The 23,558-nt window shown below is 44.1% G+C and overlaps 1 long non-coding RNA gene across 3 annotated transcripts in view, besides 3 other annotated features; it reads left to right on the top strand.

Moving 5' to 3' along the window:
- Window positions 163-744: an enhancer, noted in NCBI's record as "OCT4-NANOG hESC enhancer chr4:185546799-185547380 (GRCh37/hg19 assembly coordinates)". NCBI's record gives its function as "activates a minimal SCP1, AML or CMV promoter by ChIP-STARR-seq in primed H9 embryonic stem cells {active_cell/tissue: H9 hESC(primed)}" and the evidence as "EXISTENCE:reporter gene assay evidence [ECO:0000049][PMID:30033119]".
- Window positions 1,517-23,558, top strand: part of LINC02365 (long intergenic non-protein coding RNA 2365) — a 40,780-nt gene continuing 18,738 nt past the window's right edge. The window contains exons 1-3 of one of the 3 annotated variants that reach the window (NR_131965.1): window positions 1,517-1,650; window positions 2,931-2,967; window positions 7,072-7,773. This is a non-coding gene — a long non-coding RNA (long intergenic non-protein coding RNA 2365). Of the gene's footprint in view, window positions 1,651-2,930; window positions 2,968-7,071; window positions 7,774-23,558 lie in introns of those variants that run through there. The other 2 variants (NR_131966.1, NR_131967.1) reach the window with 2 other exon arrangements.
- Window positions 7,869-8,368: an enhancer, noted in NCBI's record as "NANOG-H3K27ac hESC enhancer chr4:185539175-185539674 (GRCh37/hg19 assembly coordinates)". NCBI's record gives its function as "activates a minimal SCP1, AML or CMV promoter by ChIP-STARR-seq in primed H9 embryonic stem cells {active_cell/tissue: H9 hESC(primed)}" and the evidence as "EXISTENCE:reporter gene assay evidence [ECO:0000049][PMID:30033119]".
- Window positions 9,254-9,811: an enhancer, noted in NCBI's record as "OCT4-NANOG hESC enhancer chr4:185537732-185538289 (GRCh37/hg19 assembly coordinates)". NCBI's record gives its function as "activates a minimal SCP1, AML or CMV promoter by ChIP-STARR-seq in naive H9 embryonic stem cells {active_cell/tissue: H9 hESC(naive)}" and the evidence as "EXISTENCE:reporter gene assay evidence [ECO:0000049][PMID:30033119]".

Raw genomic sequence — 23,558 nt, 5'->3', positions numbered from 1 at the left:
GCACAAATTGTTCATAGGGCATGTGTGTTTGAACAGTGTGAAATCTGGGCACCTTAAGAATAGGATAATAGCGATTTTTCAGGGAACAAAGGAAATAGCCTTAAAGTCTGGCTGCCTGTGGGCCGGGCAGAACAGAGCCATATTTCTCTTATTACCAAAAATGGGTAAGAGAAATATCACTGAATTCTTTCTCCAGTAAGGAATATTAATAATTAACAGCCCTGGGAAAAGAATGCATTCTGGGGAGGGGAGGGGGCCTCTGAAATGGCCGCTCTGGGGGTGTCTGCCTTATGCAGTTGCAGATAAGGGATGAAACACACCCTGGCCTCCTGCAACGCCCCCAGGCTTGCTAGGATTAGGAAATTCCAGCCTGGCAAATTCTAGTCAGACCAGTTCTCTGCTCTTGAACCCTGTTAAGATGTTTATCAATGACAATGTGAGCACAGTGGGACATAGAAGTTCATTAGTGATTCCAGTTTTGCCCTGACCTTGTGATCTCACCCTGACCTTCTGCCTTGTGATCTTTCGTCACCCTTGAAGCATGTGATCTCTGTGACCCACACCTTATTTGTACACTCCCTCCCCTTTGAAAATTGCTAATAAAAACTTGCTGGTTTTACGGCTCAGGGGGCATCACGGAACCTGCCGACATGTGATGTCTCCCCCGGACACCCAGCTTTAAAATTTCTCTCTTGTACTCTTTCCCTTTATTTCTAGACCGGCCAACACTTAGAGAAATAGAAAAGAACCTATGTGAAATATCGGGGGCTGGTTTCCCCTGATAGTGAAGGAGACAGGTTAGATACACTGGAGCTTCCACACAGGAGAGAGGGAAGGAGCTGGAGAAGAAGGTGAGTTGGAAGATTTGGGGGTTTTGTTTTTAAGTGAGAGAGCTTTGAATAGGTTTAATGCTGATGGTGGGGATCCAGTTAAGAGAAACACTGAAAATTAACTAGAGGGAAAGGTAACTGACAGTATAGAGTTCCTAAGAACCCAAGCAGTAAATTCTAGCCTAGCTGGGGGTGGAGTGTGAAGAAGTGAAGAACCTTTTTTATTTTTTTTTTAATGGGCTGGGTGTGAAGCTACATTTGTAGTTTTGTGGCAGGAAGTTCCCTTACTGTAACTTCTATATTTTCTGTGAAGCAGAAGACAAGAACTCTGTTCAAAGTTAGGGAGATGATAGATTGAGGGCTAGAAGAGTAAGGCAGGCTTGAAACAATCATTGTCACGAATGGGAGTTGACCAGAGATTAGTAACGTTGCTGGGCCATGTGTAGGGGCCCATTTGAAACCAGCGATTACAAATGTGCAGTGGTTCCAGGCCGTGCGGCTGTGTGAATCTACCTGATGACCCTCGGCTGCTTGGGTACTGCCATGGATAGCGCATGTGTTGGCTTTGTCCAGCTTTGGGCTTTTTCCCACATTGATTTTAAAAAGACAGGAGCCACAGATTTTGGAGTACTGCAAAATGACTTTCCAAATTGATGAACCATGGACTCCAAGCTGGATAGACACAGAAATGAAAAGAAGGGACTAATAGGGAATAAGACGTGTGATCCATGGCCCGATGGCCCTGATGGACGTGAAGATCCACTGTTGTGGGAGGAGTGGAACACTAACACTGAATGATGGAGGCTGTGGTCAGAAACAGGTAAGTGATGGAGGCTGTGGTCAGAAACAGGTCAATGATGGAGGCTGTGGTCAGAAACAGGTCAATGATGGAGGCTGTGGTCAGAAACAGGTCAGTGATGGAGGCTGTGGTCAGAAACAGGTCAGTGATGGAGGCTGTGGTCAGAAACAGGTCAGTGATGGAGGCTGTGGACAGAAACAGGTCAGTGATGGAGGCTGTGGTCAGAAACAGGTCAGTGATGGAGGCTGTGGTCAGAAACAGGTCAGTGATGGAGGCCGTGGTCAGAAACAGGTTGAATTGGAGGGGCACACATTTGGTCATGAAAATGGTGGGACTAAGAAGAATGAAGTGGCATGCAAGAGACCATTATAGAAATGATGTGGAACTCAGGGTGAGGATGTTGGGTGTGTGCTCTTCTGTATGGACATTGACTTTATGCTAAAATGAGATTCACTATGTGGGAACAGTAATAAAATAATGTGGCTGGGCGTGGTGGCTCACACCTGTAATCCCAACACTTTGGGAGGCTGAGGCGGGCGGATAGCAAGGTCAGAGTTTGAGACCAGCCTGGCCAACATGGTGAAACACATCTGTACTAAAAATACAAAAATTAGCCGGGCATGGTGGTGGGCACCTGTAATCACAGCTACTGGAGAGGCTGAGGCAGGAGAATTGCTTGAATCCGGGAAGTAGAGGTTGCAGTGAGCCAAGACCATGCCTTTGCACTCCAGCCTGGGCGACAGAGCGAGACTCTGTCTCAAAAAAAAAGATAAGGTGACATAACTTAGTTGTGTTTACAAACTTTTGATTTTATGGATTTGAAAAAAATCCATCATTCATTTTTGCCAGATTTTTTAAAGCTATCACCCATTATTCATAACAAGAAAGACATTTTAACTCCCACCTCCTCATTTCCCTCTCAACCCCAAAATAAGTAGGGACATAATCCCAGATTAAAGGATAATACTTCCAAGGAAAGGCTTGTCACACATGCACACACACACATTCCTCAGGATCTAACATTTTGCAAGTTGAAACCGCATTCGGGAAGCAATACTCTAATCCACTAAAATAAAATTTCACTTAACACTTGAAATAAACTTGAACTCAAAAAATTTCTCTCCTTGGTGAGACTCAGGCAGTGAGAAGCAGCTGTGACTAGAAATGGCACTGATCTGTCCGTTAGAAACTTTTTAATAAAACATGCTTGTTGTGCCCTTTATTATGTCATCATTATCAGTAAGATGTCAGAACTTTCCATAGATTAAATAAATACTCCAATTTAAGTCATTTCTTTTCAGATTTGTCTGAATTTCAGTTGATCCAGAGCAAGAAAAAGTAAGTGTTCACATGTGAAAGTCTGTGGGTCCATTGCATAGACAATTAAGAAATAATAGATAACAGATTCAAGTCAAATGCAGTACGCATGTGGGTGTGTGGCCTAGGATATTTGGATTCCAGCCTGTTAAGCCACTGATAAAGTGATCTTGGCCAAATTACAACTTCTGTTGTCTACATTTGAAGACTCAGGCCCTTTCAGCTCTAATATTGTATATAAAAGTAAAAGGCGGCCAGGCGCGGTGGCTCACGCCTGTAATCCCAGCACTTTGGGAGGCGGAGGCAGGCAGATCATGAGGTCAGGAGTTTGAGACCAGCCTGGCCAACATGGTGAAACCCCACCTCTACTAAAATACAAAAATTAGCCGGGCATGGTGGCGGGTGCCTGTTGTCCCAGCTACTCAGGAGGCTGAGGCAGGAGAATCACTTGAACCCGGGAGGCAGAGGTTGCAGTGAGCCAAGATTGTGCCATTGCATTCCAGCCTGGGCAATAGAGTGAGACTCCATCTCAAAAAAAAAAAAAAAAAAAAAGTATAAGGCACTTTGAGTGTGTAGAGACTATTCACAACTCTACTTTTTTTTTGAGACAAAGTCTTGCTGTTGCCCAGGCTAGAATGCAGGAGCACAATCACAGCTCACTGTAGCCTCAACCTCCCAAACTCAAGTTATCCTCCCACCTTAGCCTCCCAAGTAGCTGGCATCACAGGTCTGTGCTACCACACCCTGCCAATTTTTTTAAATTTTTTGTAGAGACAGGATCTGGCTATGTTGTCCAAGCTAGTTTCAAACTCCTAGGCTCACAGTATCCTCCTGCCTCCCAAAGTGCTGGGATTACAGGTGTGAGCCACCACAAATGGCAGCAACTCTTCATTTTGACAGGCCATAGTTCTCAAACTTTAACATATATCATAGTCATCATATTAAAAATGACAATGCCAGGTCTTCATACTCTAGGATTCTGGTTCTTCATGTTGTTAAAGAGATGCACAGACTCAAGAATCTTCATGTTGTTAAAGAAAAAGATTGTTCATGACACTCGATAAAGAAGGATAAGGCAGACATTGTTCAGGGGGACTATTGCAATAGCTGTAGAGAATGCCACGATGGGGTTTTGCAGTCAGTTGGGGCAAGAAATTAGGCTCTACTCCAAATACAAGGAAAAGTGGGAATTTATAGTTGAGTTGGCGGGGGTGGCGGGAGGATCAGAGGAGACATCAGGGATATAGTCGGATTCCAGCTAAATCGACTCTAACAGGATTCTTGCTGAAGGCAGGCCAGAGTGATCAGACGTCACCTGGGGGTTGGTGGAGGGTGAGGAACCCAATCAGATATCAGGGTTGGGGCGTTCTAGGTAAACTGACTTAGCAGGCTTCTGGCTAAAATCGGACAATGCAAAGATGAACAAAGAGGTCCAGAAGTCAGAGCCTGGTGGAGAAGAGAGTTCAGAGGTGCCTGCTTAGAGAATGGCGAGGGAGAGAATCTTCGTCAGGGTCTAACAAGCACTTCAGGTGATCCCCATGCCATTGTTCCTAGGATCACGCCTGAAGAAATGCTGCTGATGTCTATGTCACAGTCCTTTCTGTCTTACCCATGAACCAAGTGAGAAGACAGCATTGGCCAGCAGTTTTTACTATTTCTCTTTAACTCACGTTTGGACTTTAAACTTCCATCTGCCTCTCTCTCCTACTTTCACGGTGTCTGGAATGTTTTCTCAATGCCAACAATCAATTCTCTGATTCTCCAGACACCAGCTGGATGTCCTACATTCAATTCTAACACTATCTACCTGGAGTTAGCACAGACCTCACAGGTTAAGGGTTCATTCCCACAAGACCCCCACAACTTCAGATGTTGGTTGCAAGGCCTGGCTGCCTGCACTTCTGACCCACTGGCTATAATTCAGGGGTTCCTGCTGGAACTGTAATAGGTCCATCACCATCACCCAATGCAGGCATTAAGTCAGTACACCGAGACACCCGGTTGCGCAGAGAAAGAGGTATTATCGTGGAGCCACCAAACAACAAGACAGGAGGAAACCTTCAAATCCATCTCCCCAAGGAGTTTGGGGCTCGGGCTTTTTTTTTTTTTTTTTGAGACGGAGTCTCGCTCTGTCGCCAGGCTGGAGTCCAGTGGTGTGATCTCAGCTCACTGCAACCTCCGCCACCCAGGTTCAAGCGATTCTCCTGCCTCAGCCTCCTGAGTAGCTGGGATTACAGGCGCCCACCACCACACCTGGCTAATATTTGTATTTTTAGTAGAGACAGGATTTCCACCATGTTGGCCAGGATGGTCTTGATCTCCTCACCTTGTAATCCACCCCGCCCGCCTTGGCCTCCCAAAGTGCTGGGATTATAGGCCTGAGTCGCCACGTCCAGCCTGGGCTTGGGCTTTTAAGGGTTTTGGAGTGGGCGGAAGTGTGGAGATGGTGGATTGGCTGAATAGTGCGGTGTGAAGTCATGGGACAGGAAGATGAAGAAGCTGTATTCTCACACTGATTTGGTTCCTCTGTGGGGGTCTTCAAAGCGGTTGGTTGCAGCTGCTTCACTGGAATTCAGGGTCTCAGAAAAACATCTTAAGCATCCTCAAACAAAAGTCTTATGATTCTAATGTCAGAGATGCTGTCTATAGGAATAATGGGAATGCAAATGGTCGGTGTCAGGTGCTACGAGACTTTAAGCAATGAGGAAGGGGCCAGAGAGCAGCCTGATAGATGCTGAATTATAACCGTGTTTCATTCTTGTCAATGCTGTGGGGATGCCTTCCTCACAACTTCCTCCTCAGGTTTCATAACATGTTAGAATCAGTCACAGAACTCAGGAACACACTTTACTTACATGTGCAAACTTAAATAATACAACTAAGGAACAGCCAGATGGAAGAGAGGCATAGGACCAGGCGTCGGGGAGGGGCACGAGCAGCCCTGCCACATTCCGGGCACCAGCCTTCCAACACCGATGTATTCACCAGCCTGGAGTTTCTATACAGCTCAATCTCCAGCTTCCCCTTTCCCTTGCATGAGGCAAAGGTCAGGGACAGAGTGAAAGTTCCAACCTTTTAAACATTAGTCTTTCTGATGACCAGCCGCATCCTGAGTATCTAGGGGCCACACGCTAGATCACCTAATTAGCATAAACACAGGTGTGATCAAAAGGAATTCATTATGAATAACAAGACTCCCATCAGGCCTGGCGTGGTGGCTCACACCTGTAATTCCAGCACTTTGGGAGGCTGAGGCGGGTGAATCACTTGAGGTCACGAGTTCCAAGACCAGCCTGGCCAACACAGTGAAACCTCATCTCTACTAAAGATACAAAAATAAATTAGCCAGGCATTGTGGCAGGCACCTGTAATCCCAGCTACTCAGGAGGCTGAGGCAGGAGAATCGCTTGAACCTGGGAGGCAGAGGTTGCAGTGAGCCGAGGTCACGCCATTGCACTCCAGCCTGGGTGACAGAGCAAGACTCTGTCTCAAAAAAAAAAAAGACTCCCATCACTCAGGCAATGCCAAGGGTTTAGGGAACTCTGTGCCAGGAACAGGGACAAAAACCAGATACATATATATATATATACTTTTTAAAAATATAATTTCAACTTTTATTTTAGATTTGGGGGCATATGTGCAGGTTTGTCTCATGGGTATATGGCATAATGCTGAGGTTTGGTGTATGACTGATTCTGTCACCCAGATAGTGAGCATAGTTCCCAACAGTTAGTTTTTCAACCCTCGCCCACTCCCTCTCTCCTCCCGCTAGGAGTCCCCCAGTGGTGTTTTTGCCATCTTTATGTCCACGAGTACCCAATGTTTAGCTCACACTTATCAGTGAGAACACGCCATATTTGATTTTTCTCTTCCTGCATTAATTTGCTTAAGATAATGACCAAATCTATTTCTTATTATACCACAGATATATATATAAATCCTGTAGCTAAGGACTCATCTTTGTACCGGTAGGCAGTATTTACAATGCACGCATCAAGTCAGTACACCAAGACAACTGGTTGCAGCAGAGAAAGAGGTTTAATCATAGGGCCACCAAACAAGAAGACAGGAGGAAACCTCAAATCCATCTCCCCAGAAAGTTTGAGATTAGGGATTTTTTTTCAGTAGCTGAATATAACTGGCCAGTGCAGAAGAGCCTATGAAGGTGGAAAATGGAGGAAGGAGGACCCCATGCTGGAGAAGTGATGGAGATTTGAAGCCTTGGAAGATGGCGGCAAGGGAGATGCCAGAGATGAGACAATGTTAAACATCTGTAATCTAACAGTCTTCTATGGGAGTTTATTACATTTCCATATCCTATGTTCACTTCTAGTGAAAAATAAAAATAAAATCTTAAGCCCCCCACAGCTGACTAAATGGATCCCATTGTGAAAGGAAAATATCTTGAGCCTCCAAAATCACTAAGGAAAATTCAAGCTGGAAACTTCTTAGGACAAACCTGCCTCCCATTCTCTTCAAAGTTATTCCTCTGCTCGAGGAGCTAGATGCATATCTGATTGCCGCCTTTGGAAAGGCTAACCAGAAACTCAAAAGAATGATACAGTTTGTTATCACCTACCTGTGACCTGGAAGCTCCCTCCCTCCCCACTTGAGTCTTCCTGCTTTTGTTTCAAGCTGTCCTGCCTTTCCAGACCAAACCAATGTACTTCTTACGTATATTGATTGATGTCTCACTCATGTCTCCCTAAATCGTATAAAACCAAGCTGTGCCCCAACTACCCTGGGCATGTGTCATCAGGATTTCATGAAGCTGTGTCACGGGCGCATTCCCCAACCTTGAAAAAATAAACTTTCTAAATTAACTGAGACCTGTCTCAGATTTTCTGGGTTCACATTGTTTTCGTCAAGGGGACTCCCCAAGTAACTTTGAAAACTGAGTTCTAGGCTGTGAGGGGATGGGAGGTCAGAGGTCAGACGCACCTTGCTGCACACCTCCACCTCGCTAACCCCCTTAGGCTTTCTTCCCTAGGGGCTAAACAGAAACCAGCTCTTTCCTTTTTTTTTTTTCTTTTTTTTTAGAGACGAGTCTTGCTCTGTCACCCAGGCTGGAGTGCAGTGGTTCGATTTTGGCTCACTGCAACCACCACCTCCCAGGTTCAAGCAATTCTCCTGCCTCAGCTTCCCAAGTAACTGCAACTACAAGCACATGCCACCATGCCCGGCTAATTTCTTTTGTATTTTTAGTAGAGATGGGGTTTCACCATGTTGCCCGGGCTGGTCTTGAACTCCTGAGCTCAGGCAATCTGTCCGCCTCAGCCTCCCAAAGTGCTAGGATTACAGGCATGAGCCACTGCACCCAGCCAAAACCAGCTCTTTCAAAAGACTCCAGTGCTGATATCAACAACTGCCTGAGGCTTCCCCACCCTTTTGCAGTTTCCACATAACAATTAACCAGCATTCCCTCCTGATAAGAGACAACACCCCGCCCGCCGACGCAGAGCGGTTCTGGCCAGTCTTCAGAGGCTGCACACAGAGAGCCTGCGTGTCCCTGCTTTGTCTTTCGATGTAAAAGGCCTAACTGTCATGCATTGAAATGTGAAGTCTCCAGCCCAAAGTGAACATGGGACACATGCTGCATGCATGTTAGCCTGCTACACATGCATGATCCTCTTCATGAATATTCATAGCTCCTCCTGTAATCTGTTGAATATGTATACTTAGCCAACCTGCTCAACATAAATTCCTGTTCCCTTTACCCCTCCTTTGAAATATGTGTTTCCAGCTTCTGGCCCAAGGCTACGCTTTCCAGCCTGTCAGAATGGCTGCCTGCAAGCAGCAACCCTTTAGGAGAAAGAAAGCTCTCCTTTCCAAATTTATAAATGTCATCATACTTCAGTTTACAATAGTATTTAATTTTTTGACCTTTAAGTTCTCCAAGGTCCTTCTCCATTTTTAAGGCTTTCGAAATTAACTGATGATTCTACTAAAAAGCTAAAAATAGGTTTTTTGTTTCCAAATAATCAGAACATAATACAGTCAAAAGCACCATATAGAAATAGTTCCCTGTTTCCAGCCAATACGGCTGTGTCTCTGTTTTGAACATTTGCCTCCAGAGTGTTGCTGATGCAGTTCAAACAGAAAGCACTGAGAAATAAAATTTGCAAGTGGTTTCTGTTGAGAGTTTCTACTGTTTATAAGTCTGCGAGAATTAGTTACGTTACAGCAGGGAGTGAGAGAGAGAAGCAGCGGGTACCAAAACCTCGCTGAGCTCCTACCTGCCCTCCCCATTTCTTGCCCGCCCCCCATGGCTACCTGCCCCCTGCGATGAACTCGAGACCTTGGAATGAGAAACAGTTCAGAGTTGTCTGGTGTGTGCATATCACCTGTGGTCTAACTCATCACCCTGAAAGAAACCAAAATATTTCACCCCAAAATACCCTTCTTTGACATATTTTGAGAGGGCTGTTCAGAGGGCCTGCGAGCATGGGCAGCCCTGCAAAGGTGTCTGGTGGGGGAGATTTGCATCTGAGGGAAAATCAGCAGTGATACAGTCAGGCTTAGAGTTCCTCCCTTGTCTGGATCTAGAAAAGATTAACTGAGAGTGACATCTTTAAAGAGCTGAAAGAAACATTTCCCATCTATTCTCTGTGACGGTTGCCACCTGCAAGGTTTCATCTACATAACAAGACCACCTTTGCAGACCAGGTCTCCTCTTCTCTCCCTCCCATAACCTGTCTTGCCATTAGAAACTGATTTACCACCATAACCTGTTTTTAGCCATGCTCTGAGGCCCCATTCTTTCTGTAACCTTGAGACGGCATAAAGAGGTCAACCATCTGGCCATTTCTTTGAGTTCTTATATTTTGTAGGACTCCCATATATATTAATAAATTTGGATGCCTTTTCTCCTATTAATATGCCTTTTGTCAGTTGATTTTTCAGTGAACCTTCAGCGGGTGAAGGAGAAGTTTTCCCTTGGTCCCTACAATCTGTTTACCCTAAACCAGGCTGATACAAAAATTAAATGATGTAAATATTTTAAAATCTGCTTTTGTTGGGCACAGTGGCTCACACCTGTAATCCCAGCACTTTGGGAGCCCAAGGCAGGAGGATTGCTTGAGCCCAGGAATTTGAGACCAGCCTGGCCAACATAGCAAGACCCTATCTCTACAAAAAAAATTTTAAAAATCAGCCAAGTGCTGCCTGCAGTCCCAGCTACTTGGGAGGCTGAGGTGGGAGGATCCCTTGAGCCCAGTAATCGAAGGCTGCAGTGAGCTATGACTGCACAACTGACTGCAATCCAGCCTGAGCTCAGAGCAAGACTCTGTCTCAAACAAAAAAGTAAGTAAATAAATAAATAAAAAGTATCCGCTTTTAATGGACAGATTTGTTCTTTCTAATTTACTTCCTGCCACTTTGTTAATCAATTTGGTAGTCTGAAAAAAATTTTTTTAATCTTGTCTTTATCAATGAGAAGAGAAAATAGCTTTTATCCAAGGAAGGTGAGTCCTTTAAAATTATCAGACCCAGAGAGACTTTTTTTGAGACACTCTTGCTCTGTCACCCAGGCTGGAGTACAGTGGTGTGATCTTGGCTCACTGCAACCTCTGCCTCCTGGATGTAAGCGATTCTCCTGTCTCAGCCTCCCGAGTAGCTGGGATTACAGGGATGCCACCATGCCTGGATAATTTTTGTATTTTTAGTAGAGATGGGGTTTTGCCATGTTGGCCAGGCTGGTCTCACACTCCTGACCTCAGGTGATCCGCCCACCTCAGCCTCCCAAAGTGCTGGGATTATAGACGTGAGCCACTGCGTGTGGCCCAGAAAGACATTAAGATGAGCCAACAATCACATTGTACTTCCCCCTTGAGTGATATATTCATCTTCTGAAACTTCTTGCTGTTGCCATAATAGCTATAAATTAACCTAATAATAATGTACTTGACACTATAACCCACACACTATAGCTTAACAATGTATAGCCAATCATTAATGTTATTTCTGTAAACCAATGAGACTTCCTGTCATACAACTTTGTATCAGCCCACTGCTTGTCCCCTTTGCCTTTAAAAAACCTGCTGGTAGCTTTCAGTGCCTGCAGATCCTAGGAGCTCCCAGCCGAGGATGTCAGATCTCATCATCCTTGCTGCTTTGCCACCCCATTCCCCTCAATAAAGTGGTTTGGTCCCCCCCCAACCAAAAACAACAAACAAACAAACAAACAAAATCGGCTTTGTAACAAAGGCTGAACAAAGTATTTTTAATACAGACAGGGTTTCACCGTGTTAGCCAGGATGGTCTCAATCTCCTGACCTTGTGATCCGCCCACCTCGGCCTCCAAAAGTGCTGGGATTACAGGCATGAGCCACTGCACCTGGCCCCTTTACTTTCTTAATAAACTTGCTTTGACTTAACTTAACAGAGTCGCCTTGAATTCTTTCTTGCGTGAGATCCAAGAACCCGCTCTTGGGGGTCTGGATTGGGACCCCTTTCTGATAATATTTTGGTTTATTCAATGAGCTCATGAAAAAGAAAGATGGGCTAGACTCAGGACCATTCTAGTACATTTGCGTCCCTAAAGTTATCCTACTAAAATATTAACATGATTTCTATGGATGCTTGCCAGGTCCAACCCACAGACGCTGGCCGAACGATGGATGAAAGAATGCACTCAAGACACCAGTATCCAGTGAAAGAGCAGGCTAGGGGACTGGGCCATGCACAGACCCTGAGGAGGGTGCTGTAAGGAGTCAGCAGCCATGGCCCTGACAAGTTGGTGCTGCAGGCATTTATTTAGTACAGATTTAATGACAAAGGCTTTGAGTCAACCCTCTTGTGGGTAATTAACATGGTTGCCCTCCCTGGAGAGAGTAGTCCCACATGGATGATTAAAGGCCAGGTTCTGAGCCTAAGTAAACTAACTTATCTAGATCAGTTTCTTTACAACCCCTTGTTATCTAACCTAAGCTCTTAAGAGAATTCAGCTGCCTTCAGCCAAACTCTCTTCTGAAGCTATGCAAACTCCCAGCCTTCCGAGAAGGTTTGCATCCTTTTCCTATAATTTTTCCTACCACCCTGACTGCTCTCCTACAATTCTCTTCATAAATTTCTCCTAAATCCCCACCACCGCCGACCAAGTCACTGATGGAAGCTTGTTGTGAATGTTTATCTATGAGCCATAGGCCCATCTACTTTATGTTCAAGCCCTGATGTAAATGTCCCTCATGTCGCGGCACTGATACCAACTATGAAACCTCCATGGAGAAAGGCATAATTGAAAATTGCATCAAGTAAATTCCAGAAAATTCAAAGTTGACATCTGAACTTTCTTTGGAGTTTGTTGAGCACCTCGTTTTTCAGCATGAGAAATTCACAGGCAAACTATGACTACGAAATATTTTTCACAGGCCGAGCATGGTGGCTCACGCTTGTAATCCCAGAATTTTGGGAGGCCGAGGCGGGTGGATCACCTGAGGTCAGGAGTTTGAGACCAGTCTGGCCAACATGGTGAAACCCCATCTCTACTAAAAAAAAACCACACACACACACAAAAATTAGCTGGGCATGGTGGCAGGCACCTATAATCCCAGCTACTCGGGAGGCTGAGGCAGGAGAATCCCTTGAACCCAGGAGGCAGAGGTTGCAGTAAGCAGAGATCGTGGAGATCACACCATTGCACTCCAGCCTGGGTGACAAGAGTGAAACTCCATCTCAAAAATAAAAAAATAAAAAAAGAAAAAATATTTTTCACAAACTGCAATCACAGTTCATTTCAACTCAGAATCCTCCCCTCCCTGCCCCAGCTCCCATATCCACCTTTTCTCCATTGTGTTTTGTGTAGTTTGGCTAGTGACAGCTCTGGGATCCTCTAGCTAGCTGCCACTTCCCCAATCTGAACTCCAGTTTCTGCTTCCCTAAAATAGAAACGATAACATTGTCAAAAGACGAAATTACAACAAATTTAGTTTAAAGATCTAATTGGCTTAATTAGCAATTCATGAATTAGACAACATCTCTGTAAAAATAGACAGGTGCTCTGATGGGCTGAGCAGAAGAGATTGGCTTTGTAAACCAAAAATAAAATTCTGAGCCTCCCACTATCTGAACAGGTCCCTCCTCTTGGCAAGGGCGTTACAAGTTAACCTGAAAAACTAATCCAGGCCATGATGGGAAGAGGGAAACAGATATGCTTCATTATACCTTCCCCCCTTTTGGAATTACAGATAGAACAGACTCTTTAAGTCTGATAAGAAACATTTACAATCTATTCTCTCTGAAGCATGTCCTCTGGAGGCTTCATCTGTCTGATAAAACCTTGGTCTCCACAACCCCTTATTGTATCCCAGACATCCTTTCTATTTAATAACTCTTTCAACCAATCCCCAATCAGAAAATCTTTAAATCTCCCTGTGACCTGAAAACCCCCACTTTGAGTTGTCACAGCTTTCTAGACCAAACCAATGTACATCTTACATGTATTGATTGATGTCTCATGTCTTCCCAAAGTATAAAACCAAGCTGTGCCCCACCCACCTTAGCACGTGTTGTCAGGACCTCCTGAGGTTGTGCCACAGACACATCCTAAACCTTGGCAAAATAAACTTTCTAAATTGATTGCGACCTGCCTCAGATACCTTTCATTTACAGCTTTATAGGCAAAAAGGGGCTGAGACAGGTAACAAAGAGTTGATCGGTCATTTCAAAGTTACTTTCCTTACAGAGTTAAAACAGAGGGAACTTTTTGTCATGCTGGCTCAGGTAAACTAGGCCCCTTGTGACTGGTTCCTGTGTCTCCTGTTTTTTGAAAACTGGCCCATTCAAAGTTCAGTTTGATTATGTGGCACCTAGCATGAGGAACTCCATTCTGGTTTGGTTTGGTCTGGTCTGGTGGGCCTAGTGCAGGAGCTCAGTCCAAAGCAGTGGCCTCCCATAAATTCATTTAATGATCTTCCTTCAAAGTAGAAGTGATATGAGAATTTTTAAAGAGATAACAGCAGGAAAGATGTCTAACAAGTTAAAGTACTATAGAACCATGTAAATTATTCTAAATATCCCCCATAGTTTGATACCATTAAAGATGTCAGTAAGGCTAAGAAAACTGTTCTATTTACTTATCAACACTTGATATAGCTCTCAGCTTCGTGCCAGCCTCTATGCTAAGCGGGTTTCTAAACATTAACTCATGTAATCCTCTCATCAACCTTAGGAGATATCCTCAGTTCACTGAGGGAAAACAAGTAATCTGACCAGGGTCACAGTATATTATGAAATGGCAGGGTTGGGATTTGAACTCAAGAGTCTTACTGTAGACTCTGTGCTCTGAGCCACCATGCTAAGCTATCTAGAGGGAGATGTCCTGTGTTACTGTGGCAGCCGTGTTAGCAGGTTTAGCCCTAAATGTACAGACAATCCCTGGGGTATCTACAGTTTCCATTCAACATTTATAGAGTGCTTACAATTTGTCTGTCAGGCATTGTGCTAGGTACTGGGACTACAGAGTGAAAAGACTCATCTGAGGCCCTGGAGGAACCTGTCAGATGGTTGGTGAGACAAACAAGGAACACCTACATGATCATGTGAAATATATATTTGGTCTTCCGTGGCCTCTTGGCATACAGCTAAAACCCTTAGAACCTCCGAAGTGCTGTCTTTTTGTATGCTAATAAGTTGACTGAAGGCTGGCAGCACGCAGGTAGCTTCAGTATAGGGGCTGGTCACAAGAAAGACCAAGGCAGGATTAGAGAGTTGGGACTTTCAGCCCCACCCCCAGCCTCCCGGGAAGAGAGAGAGGCTGAGGTTAAGTTGATTACCAATGGCTAACAGTGAATTAATTGTATCTATGTAATGAAGCTTCCATAAAAACCCAAAAGGGTTTGAGGAACTTCTGGAGAGCTGAACACATGGAGGTTCCTGTAGGGTGGTACCCAGGGAGGGCGTGGAAGCTGCCCTCCAATTTCCTCATACCTCACCCTGTGCATGTCTTCACCTGTATCCTTTGTAATATTCCTTATAATGAATCTGTTAATGTAGGTATTTCCTTGAGTCCTGTGAGCCACTCTAGCAAATTAACTGAGCCCAGCAAGGGGGTGTGCAAACCCCAGTTGGTAGGAGGTCAGTCAGAAGCATGGGCGAAACAACCTGTGGCTTCCGATTATCATCAGATTTTGCAGCGGGGGAGTCTTGGGGACTGAGTCCTTGACCTGTGGGATCTGACACTGTTTCCAGGTGGATGGCGTCAGAATTGAATTACAGGACACTCAGCTGCTATTGCCTGCTGTAGAATTGCTTGGTGCGTGGAGAAACCTCATACATCTGGGCACAGAAGTATTCTGTGTTATGGGAAAGCTGAGGAAAAATATTTTTGGGTTTTTCCATACTCAACCTGGTAAGAAGCTTTCTCTTCATTCCAAGTCAATAGGAGTAAACTGAGTCCAAGAAAATTCCAGAGCATGAGAAGTCTAGCCTCTACCTTATCCTAGATAACGAATTGGCCAGCCTCCTAAACTCTACCTACTTATCTGTCAAAAAGGAAAGCAAAAGAGAGCTGGGTAACTCACTGGGAGCTGTGGCTCACGCCTGTAATCCCAGCACTTTGGGAGTCCCAGGCGGACAGATCATGAGGTCAGGAGTTCAAGACCAGCCTGGCCAACATGGTGAAACCCCATCTGTACTATAAATACAAAAATTAGCTGGGTGTGGTGGCACATGCCTGTAATCCCAGCAACTCTGGAAGCTAAGGCAGGAGAATCGCTTGAACCTGGGAGGCAGAGGCTGCAGTGAGCCGAGATCACGCCACTGCCCTCCAGTGTGGGTGACAGAGCGAGACTTTGATTCAAAAAATAATAATAATAATACATAAATCTTGGTGACTCAAGAGCTTAAAAAAATACACATAATTCTGGTCAATCCCAAGGCAGGTCAGTGTAAGGGCTACATTCAATTCAATTAAATTGGACCCAAGCACCCTGGGGAATGGAGGTCTTAAGGAGATGGCATATCCTGCTTTGCCCAGACTACAGAGGGACAAGGCCAAGCTAAGCCAGCATAGCTCAGCTTTTTAGGGACTGATCTTAACACCCATGTAAGATGCTGGATTAGACCTTGCCCTGGGAAGGAACACTGATTTCCCCATTGGGTTTTTACAAAGTGGTAGGGTATGGAGAGGAAGAACTATCACAATGGTGGAGTAAGTGGTAGAAAGAAACAGATCTGGGGTGAAAGGTTTATGCTTGGAATTCATTCCTTAGTGTTAATGGAGTTTATTCTGAGCCATTATGAGTGACCATGGCCCAGGGAGATCTCATGAGGACCTAAGAAAGTGTGCCGGGGTGGTCAGGTTACAGTTTGGTTTTATACATTTTAGGGAGACAGGAGTTACAGGCGAAGATGTAAATCAATACATATAAAGTATACATTGGTTTTGAGACAGGCAGGCAGGTTGGTTCCCTACTTTAAGATGGTCTGGAGGAAAAGCATACGGAGGCCCCCACTCAAGCTCTAGCTTCTCTAACTCTCAGCCAGTCAGCAACAAAAGACCCAAGGAGCAGTTAACTGCAAGCTCTTATTTCAGGGGAGCTGGAGACTTCCCCAGAGCCCTACATGTAAAGTTAAACTCCAGCCTACAATTACTCCTTCCTTATTTTAATACTAAAAATCATACTCAGGGTTGGAGATTTAAAATGTGAAGGCTACATATGACATATCAAAAAGCATGTTGAACCACCGGCAAGCACAAGAAAAGCCCCTCCTATGTGTGCCCTGATGTAACCCTTTCCTTTACAAAGACCCTAAAACTAACCCACACACTGTTCTCGGGGAGCAGCCCATTCTTTGCGCTTTCTCCATGCTGGCTCCCTTGAGCACAAGCTAAAATAAACTTTGTCATTACTGCTATGTCTGGTGATCTCTCTTGACTTCTAGCCTGGGAGATTACACGAACCTGCAACTGCCCCAATGGGGTCCCCTTGCCTGCTGTCTAGACAGAGCTGATTTATCAAGGAAGGGGAATTGCAATAGAGTTTAATTCACACAGAGCCAGTTGTGGGGGAGACTGGAGTTTTATTTTTACTCAAATCAGTCTCCTTGAAAACTCATGGATCAGGGATTTTAGGGATAATTTGGTGGGTGGGGGGTCAGAAAGCGAGAGAGTGCTGCTTGGTCAGGTGAGAGATGAAATCATAGGGAGTTGAAGCTTGTCGTCTTGAGCTAAGTCAGTCCCTGAATGAGGGTCACGGTGAGCCCGTTTATTGATCTGGGTGGTGCCAGCTGATCCACTGAGTGCAGGGGCTGCAAAATATTTCAAGCACTGATCTTATGTTTTACAATAGTGATGTTATCGGCCGGGCTCGGTGGCTCACGCCTGTAATCCCAGCAGTTTGGGAGGCCGATGTGGGCGGATCACCTAAGGTCAAGAGCCTGAGACCAGCCCGACCAACACAGAGAAACCCAGTCTCTATTAAAAATACAAAATTAGCTGGGCATGGTGGCGCATGCCTGTAATCCCAGCTACTTGGGAGGCTGAGGCAGGAGAATCACTTGAACCCAGGAGGCGGAGGTTGCAGTGAGCCAAGATCGCCCAGCTAATGCTACATACAATGTATAAAGAAGCAGGTTGAACCACTGTGCAAGCGTTAGAAAAACCCCTCCTGTAGATCTCCTGATGGAACCCTGCCTTTTACAAAGGCCCTGTAAAACTAACCCACACAGTCCTCTCAGGGAACAGTCCATTCTTTGTTCTTTCCTGAGCACAAGCTAAAATAAACTTTCTTTGGGAGGCCAAGGCCAGTAGATCACCTGAGGTCAGAAGCTGGAGACCAGTCTGGACAATATGGCAAAACCCTGTCTCTACTAGAAATACAAAAAGCTAGCCAGGGGTGGTGGCAGGCGCCTGTAATCCCAGCTACTTGGGAGGGTGAGGCAGGAGAATCGCTTGAACCCAGGAGGCGGAGGTTGCAGTGAGCTGAGATCGCGCCACTGAACTCCAGCTTGGGCAACAGAGTGAGACTCCATCTCAAAATAAATAAATAAATAAATAAATAAATAAATAAATAAATAAAAAAAATAAAAAAGTTTCTCTTTGCTGCTGTATCTGGTGATCTCTCTTGATTTCTAACATGGGACATTACAGGAACCCAGGGCATTGGTAACAGTTGACCTGGAAAGGCAGGAAGGACATCTGGAAACATGGGCTTACAGGTCATAGGTCATATATATATACATATATATATTTTTGTGTGTGTGTGAGTCGGAGTCTCACTCTGTCACCTAGGCTGGAGTGCAGTGGTGTGATCTCGGCTCACTGCAACCTCCGCCTCCCAGGTTCAAGCAATCCTCCTGCCTCAGCTTCCCAAGTAGCTGGGAGTACAGGCATGTGCCACAACGCCTGGCTAATTTTTTTGGATTTTTAGTAGAGGCGGGGTTTCACCATATTGGCCAGGCTGGTCTCGAACTCTTGACCTTGTGATCCATCCACCTTAGCCTCCCAAAGTGCTGGGATTACAGGCATGAGCCACCGTGCCCAGCCTGTATTTTTTTTTCTTTATTCTGGGGTACATGTGCAGAACGTGCAGGTTTGTTACATAGGTATACACGTGCCATGGTGGTTTGCTGCACCCATCAACCTGTCATCTACATTAGGTATTTCTCCTAATGCTATCCCTTCCCTAGACTCCCCACCCGCAACAGGCCCCAGTGTGTGATATTCCCCTTCCTGTGTCCATGTGTTCTCATTGTTCAACTTCCACTTATGAGTGAGAACATGTGGTGTTTGGTTTTCTGTGCTTGTGTTAGTTTGCTGAGAATGGTGGCTTCCAGCTTCATCCATGTCCCTGCAAAGGACATGAACTCACCCTTTTTTATGGCTGCGTAGTATTCCATGGTGTATATATGCCACATTTTCTTTATCCAGTCTATCACTGATGGGCATTTGGGTTGGTTCCAAGTCTTTGCTATTGTGAACAGTGCTGCAATAGACATATGTGTGCATGTGTCTTTATAGTAGAATGATTTCTAATCCTTTGGGTATATACCTAGTAATGGGATTGCTGGGTCAAATGGTATTTCTGGTTCTAGATCCTTCAGAAATTGCCACACCGTCTTCCACAATGGTTGAACTAATTTATACCACCATCAACAGTGTAAAAGCGTTCCTATTTCTCTACATCCTCTCCAGCATCTGTCGTTTCCTGACTTTTTAATGATCGCCATTCTAACTGGTGTGAGATGGTATCTCATTGTGGTTTTGATTTGCATTTCTCTAATGACCAGCAATGATGAGCTTTTTTTCATATGATTGTTGGCTGCATAAATGTCTTCTTTTGAGAAGTGTCTGTTCATATCCTTCACCCACTTTTTGATGGGGTTGTTTTTTTCTTGTAAATTTGTTTGAGTTCATTGTAGATTCTGGATATTAGCCCTTTGTCAGATGAATAGATTGCAAAAATTTTCTCCCATTCTGTAGGTTGCCTGTTCACTCTGATGATAACTTCTTTTGCTGTGTAGAAGTTCTTTAGTTTAATTAGATCCCATTTGTCAATTTTGGCTTTTGTTGCCATTCCTTTTGATGTTTTAGTCATGAAGTCTTTGTCCATGCCTACGTCCTGAATTGCCTAGGTTTTCCTTCTAGGGTTTTTATGGTTTTAGGTCTTACATTTAAGTTTTTAATCCATCTTGAGTTAATTTTTGTATAAGGTGCAAGGAAGGAGCCCAGTTTCATTTTTCTGCATATGGCTAGCCAGTTTTCCCAACACCATTTAATAAATACAGAATCCTTTCCCCATTGCTTGTTTTTGTCAGATTTGTCAAAGATCAGATGGCTGTAGATGTGTGGCGTTATTTCTGAGATCTCTGTTCTGTTCCATTGGTCTATATATCTGTTTTGATACCAGTACCATGCTGTTTTGGTTACTGTAGCCTTGTAGTATAGTTTGAAGTCAGGTATCATGATGCATCCAGTTTTGTTCTTTTGGCTCATGATTGTCTTGGCTGTGCAGGCTCTTTTTTGGTTCCACAAGAAATTTAAAGTAGTTTTTTCCAATTATGTGAAGAAAGTCAATGGTAGCTTGATGGGGATAGCATTGAATCTATAAATTACCTTGGGTAGTATGGCCATTTTCACGATATTAATCTTTCCTATCCATGAACATGGAATGTTTTTCCCATTGTTTGTGTCCTTTTCCCATTTCCTTGAGCAGTGGTTTGAAGTTCTCCTTGAAGAGGTCCTTCACATCCCTTGTAAGTTGTATTCTTAGATATTGTATTCTCTTTGTAGTAATTGTGAATGGGAGTTCATTCATGATTTGGCTCTACTTGTCTATTATTGCTGTATAGGAATGCTTGTGATTTTTGCTTATTGATTTTGTATCCTGAGACTTTGCTGAAGTTGCTTATCAGCTTAAGGAGATTTTGGGCTGAGACAAAGGGGTTTTCTAAATACACAATCATGTCATCTGAAAACAGAGACAATTTGACTTTCTCTCTTCCTATTTGAATACCCTTTATTTCTTTCTCTTGCTGATAGTCCTGGCCAGAACTTCCAATACTATGTTTAATAGGAGTTGTGAGAGAAGGCATCCTTGTCTTGTGCCAGTTTTCAAAGGGAATGCTTCCAGTTTTTGCCCATTCAGTATGATATTGGCTGTGGGTTTGTCATAAATAGCTCTTATAATTTGAGATACATTCCATCAATACCTAGTTTATTCGGAGTTTTTAGCATGAAGGCATGTTGAATTTTGTCAAAAGCCTTTTCTGCATCTATTAAGATAGTCATATTGTTTTTGTCCTTGGTTCTGTTTATGTGATGGATTACATTTATTGATTTGCGTATGTTAAACCAGCCTTGCATCCCAGGGATGAAGCTGACTTGATCATGGTGGATAAGCTTTTTGATGTGCTGCTGGATTCAGTTTGCCAGTATTTTATTGAGAATTTTTGCATCAATATTCATCAGGGATATTGGCCTGAAATTTTCTTTTTTTGTTGTGTCTCTGCCAGGCTTTGGTATCAGGATGATGCTGGCCTCATAAAGTGAGTTAGGGAGAAGTCCCTATTTTTCTAGTGTTTGGAATAGTTTCAGAAGGAATGGTACCAGCTCCTCTTTGTACCTCTGGTAGAATTTGGCTGTGAATCTGTCTGGTCCTGGACTTTTTTTGGTTGGTAGGCTATTAATTATTGCCTCAATTTCAGAACTTGTTATTGGTCTATTCAGGGATTCAACTTCTTCCTGATTTAGACTTGGGAGGGTGTATGTGTCTGGGAATGTATCCATTTCTTCTAGATTTTCTAGTTTATTTGTATAGAGGTGTTTATAGTATTCTCTGATAGTAGTTTGTATTTCTGTGGGATCACTGGTGATATCCCCTTTATCATTTTTTATTGTGTCTATTTGATTCTTCTCTCTTTTCTTTATTAGTCTGGCTAGCGATCTAACTACTTTGTTGATCTTTTCGAAAAACCAGCTCCTGAATTCATTGACTTTTTGAAGGGTTTTTTGTGTCTCTATCTGCCGAGACTAGCTCGATCGGGGAGACCCTAACCCAGTGGCGCTAGAGGAATTAAAGACACACACACAGAAATATAGAGGTGTGAAGTGGGAAATCAGGGGTCTCACAGCCTTCGGAGCTGAGAGCCCTGAACAGAGATTTACCCATGTATTTATTAACAGCAAGCCAGTCATTAGCATTGTTTCTATAGATATTCAATTAACTAAAAGTATCCCTTATGGGAAACAAAGGGATGGGCCTAAATAAAGGAATAGGTTGGGCTAGTTAACTGCAGCAGGAGCAGGTCCTTAAGGCACAGATCGCTCATGCTATTGTTTGTGGCTTAAAAATGCCTTTAAGCAGTTTTCCGCCCTGGACGGGCCAGGTGTTCCTTGCCCTCATTCCGGTAAACCCACAACCTTCCAGCACGGGTGTTACGGCCATCATGAACATGTCACAGTGCTGCAGAGATTTTGTTTATGGCCAGTTTGGGGACCAGCTTGTGGCCAGATTTTGGGGGGGCCTGTTCCCAACATCTATCTTCTTCAGTTCAGCTCTGATCTTAGTTATTTCTTGTCTTCTGCTAGCTCTTGAATTTATTTGCTCTTGTTTCTCTAGTTCTTTTTTTTTTCTTTTTGAGATGCAGTTTTGCTCTTGTTGCCCAGGCTGGAGTGCAATGGCTCAATCTCGGCTCACTGCAACCTCTGCCTCCTGGGTTCAAGCAATTCTCCCACCTCAACCTCCCAAGTAGCTGGGATTACAGGCATGTGGCACCACACCTGGCTAATTTTTTGTATTTAGTAGAGACAGGGTTTCACCATGTTGGTGAGGTTGGTCTGGAACTCCTGACCTCAGGTGATGCACCTGCCTCAGCCTCCTGAAGTGCTGGGATTACAGGTGTGAGTCACCACGCCCAGCCGTTTCTCTAGTTCTTTTAATTGTGATGTTAGGGTGTCGATTTCAGATCTTTTCTGCTTTCTCTTGTGGGCATTTAGTGCTATATATTTCCCTCTAAACACTGCTTTAGCTGTGTCCCAGAGATTCTGGTATGTTGTGTCTTTGTTCTCATTGGTTTCAAAGAACTTATTTATTTCTGCCTTAATTTTGTTATTTACCCAGTAGTCATTCAGGAGCAGGTTGTTCAGTTTCTATGTAGTGTGGTTTTGAGTGAGTTTCTTAATCCTGAGTTCTAATTTGATTGCACTGTGGTGTGAGAGACTGTTTGTTATAATTTCCGTTCTTTTTTTTGTTTGTTTGTTTTTTTGAGACAGAGTCTCGCTCTGTTGCCCAGGCTGGAGTGCAGTGGCACAATCTTGGCTCACTGCAAGCTCCGCCTCCTGGGTTCATGCCATTCTCTTGCCTCAGCCTCCCGAGTAGCTGGGACTACAGGCGCCCACCACCTTGCCTGGCTAATTTTTTATATTTTTAGTAGAGATGAGGTTTCACCGTTATTAGCCAGGATGGTCTCGATCTCCTGACCTCGTGATCCACCCGCCTCAGCCTCCCAAAGAGCTGGGATTACAGGCGTGAGTCACCACACCCAGCCATAATTTCTGTTCTTTTGCATTTGCTGGGGAGTGTTTTACTTCCAATTATGTGGTCAATTTTAGAATAAGTGTGATGTGGCGGTGAGAAAAATGTATATTCTGTTGATTTGAGGTGGAGAGTTCTGCAGATGTCTATTAGGTCTGCTTGGTCCAGAGCTGAGTTCAAGTCCTGGATAGCCTTGTTAATTTTCTGACTCATTGATCTGTCTAATATTGACAGTGGGGTCTTAAAGTCTCCCACTATTATTGTGTGGGAGTCTAAGTCTCTTTATAGGTCTCTAAGAATTTGCTTTATGAATCTGGGTGCTCCTGTATTGGGTGCATATATATTTAGGATAGTTAGCTCTTCTTGTTGCATTGATCCCTTTACCATTATGAAATGCCCTTCTTTGTCTCTTTTGATCTTTGTTGATTTAAAGTCTGTTTTATCAGAGACTAGGATTGCAACCCCTGCTCTTTTTTGCTTTCCATTTGCTTGGTAAATATTCCTCCATCCCTTTATTTTGAGCCTATGTGTGTCTTTGCACATGAGATGGGTCTCCTGAATACAGCACACTGACGGATCTTGACTCTTTATCCAATATGCCAGTCTGTGTCCTTTAATTGGGGCATTTAGCCCACTTAT

The sequence above is a fragment of the Homo sapiens genome, chromosome 4, assembly GCF_000001405.40.
Source record: "Homo sapiens chromosome 4, GRCh38.p14 Primary Assembly".
Lineage (NCBI taxonomy): Eukaryota > Metazoa > Chordata > Mammalia > Primates > Hominidae > Homo > Homo sapiens.
The sequence above is the reverse complement of the archived record's forward strand: the minus strand, read 5'-3'. Positions and strand labels throughout refer to the sequence as shown.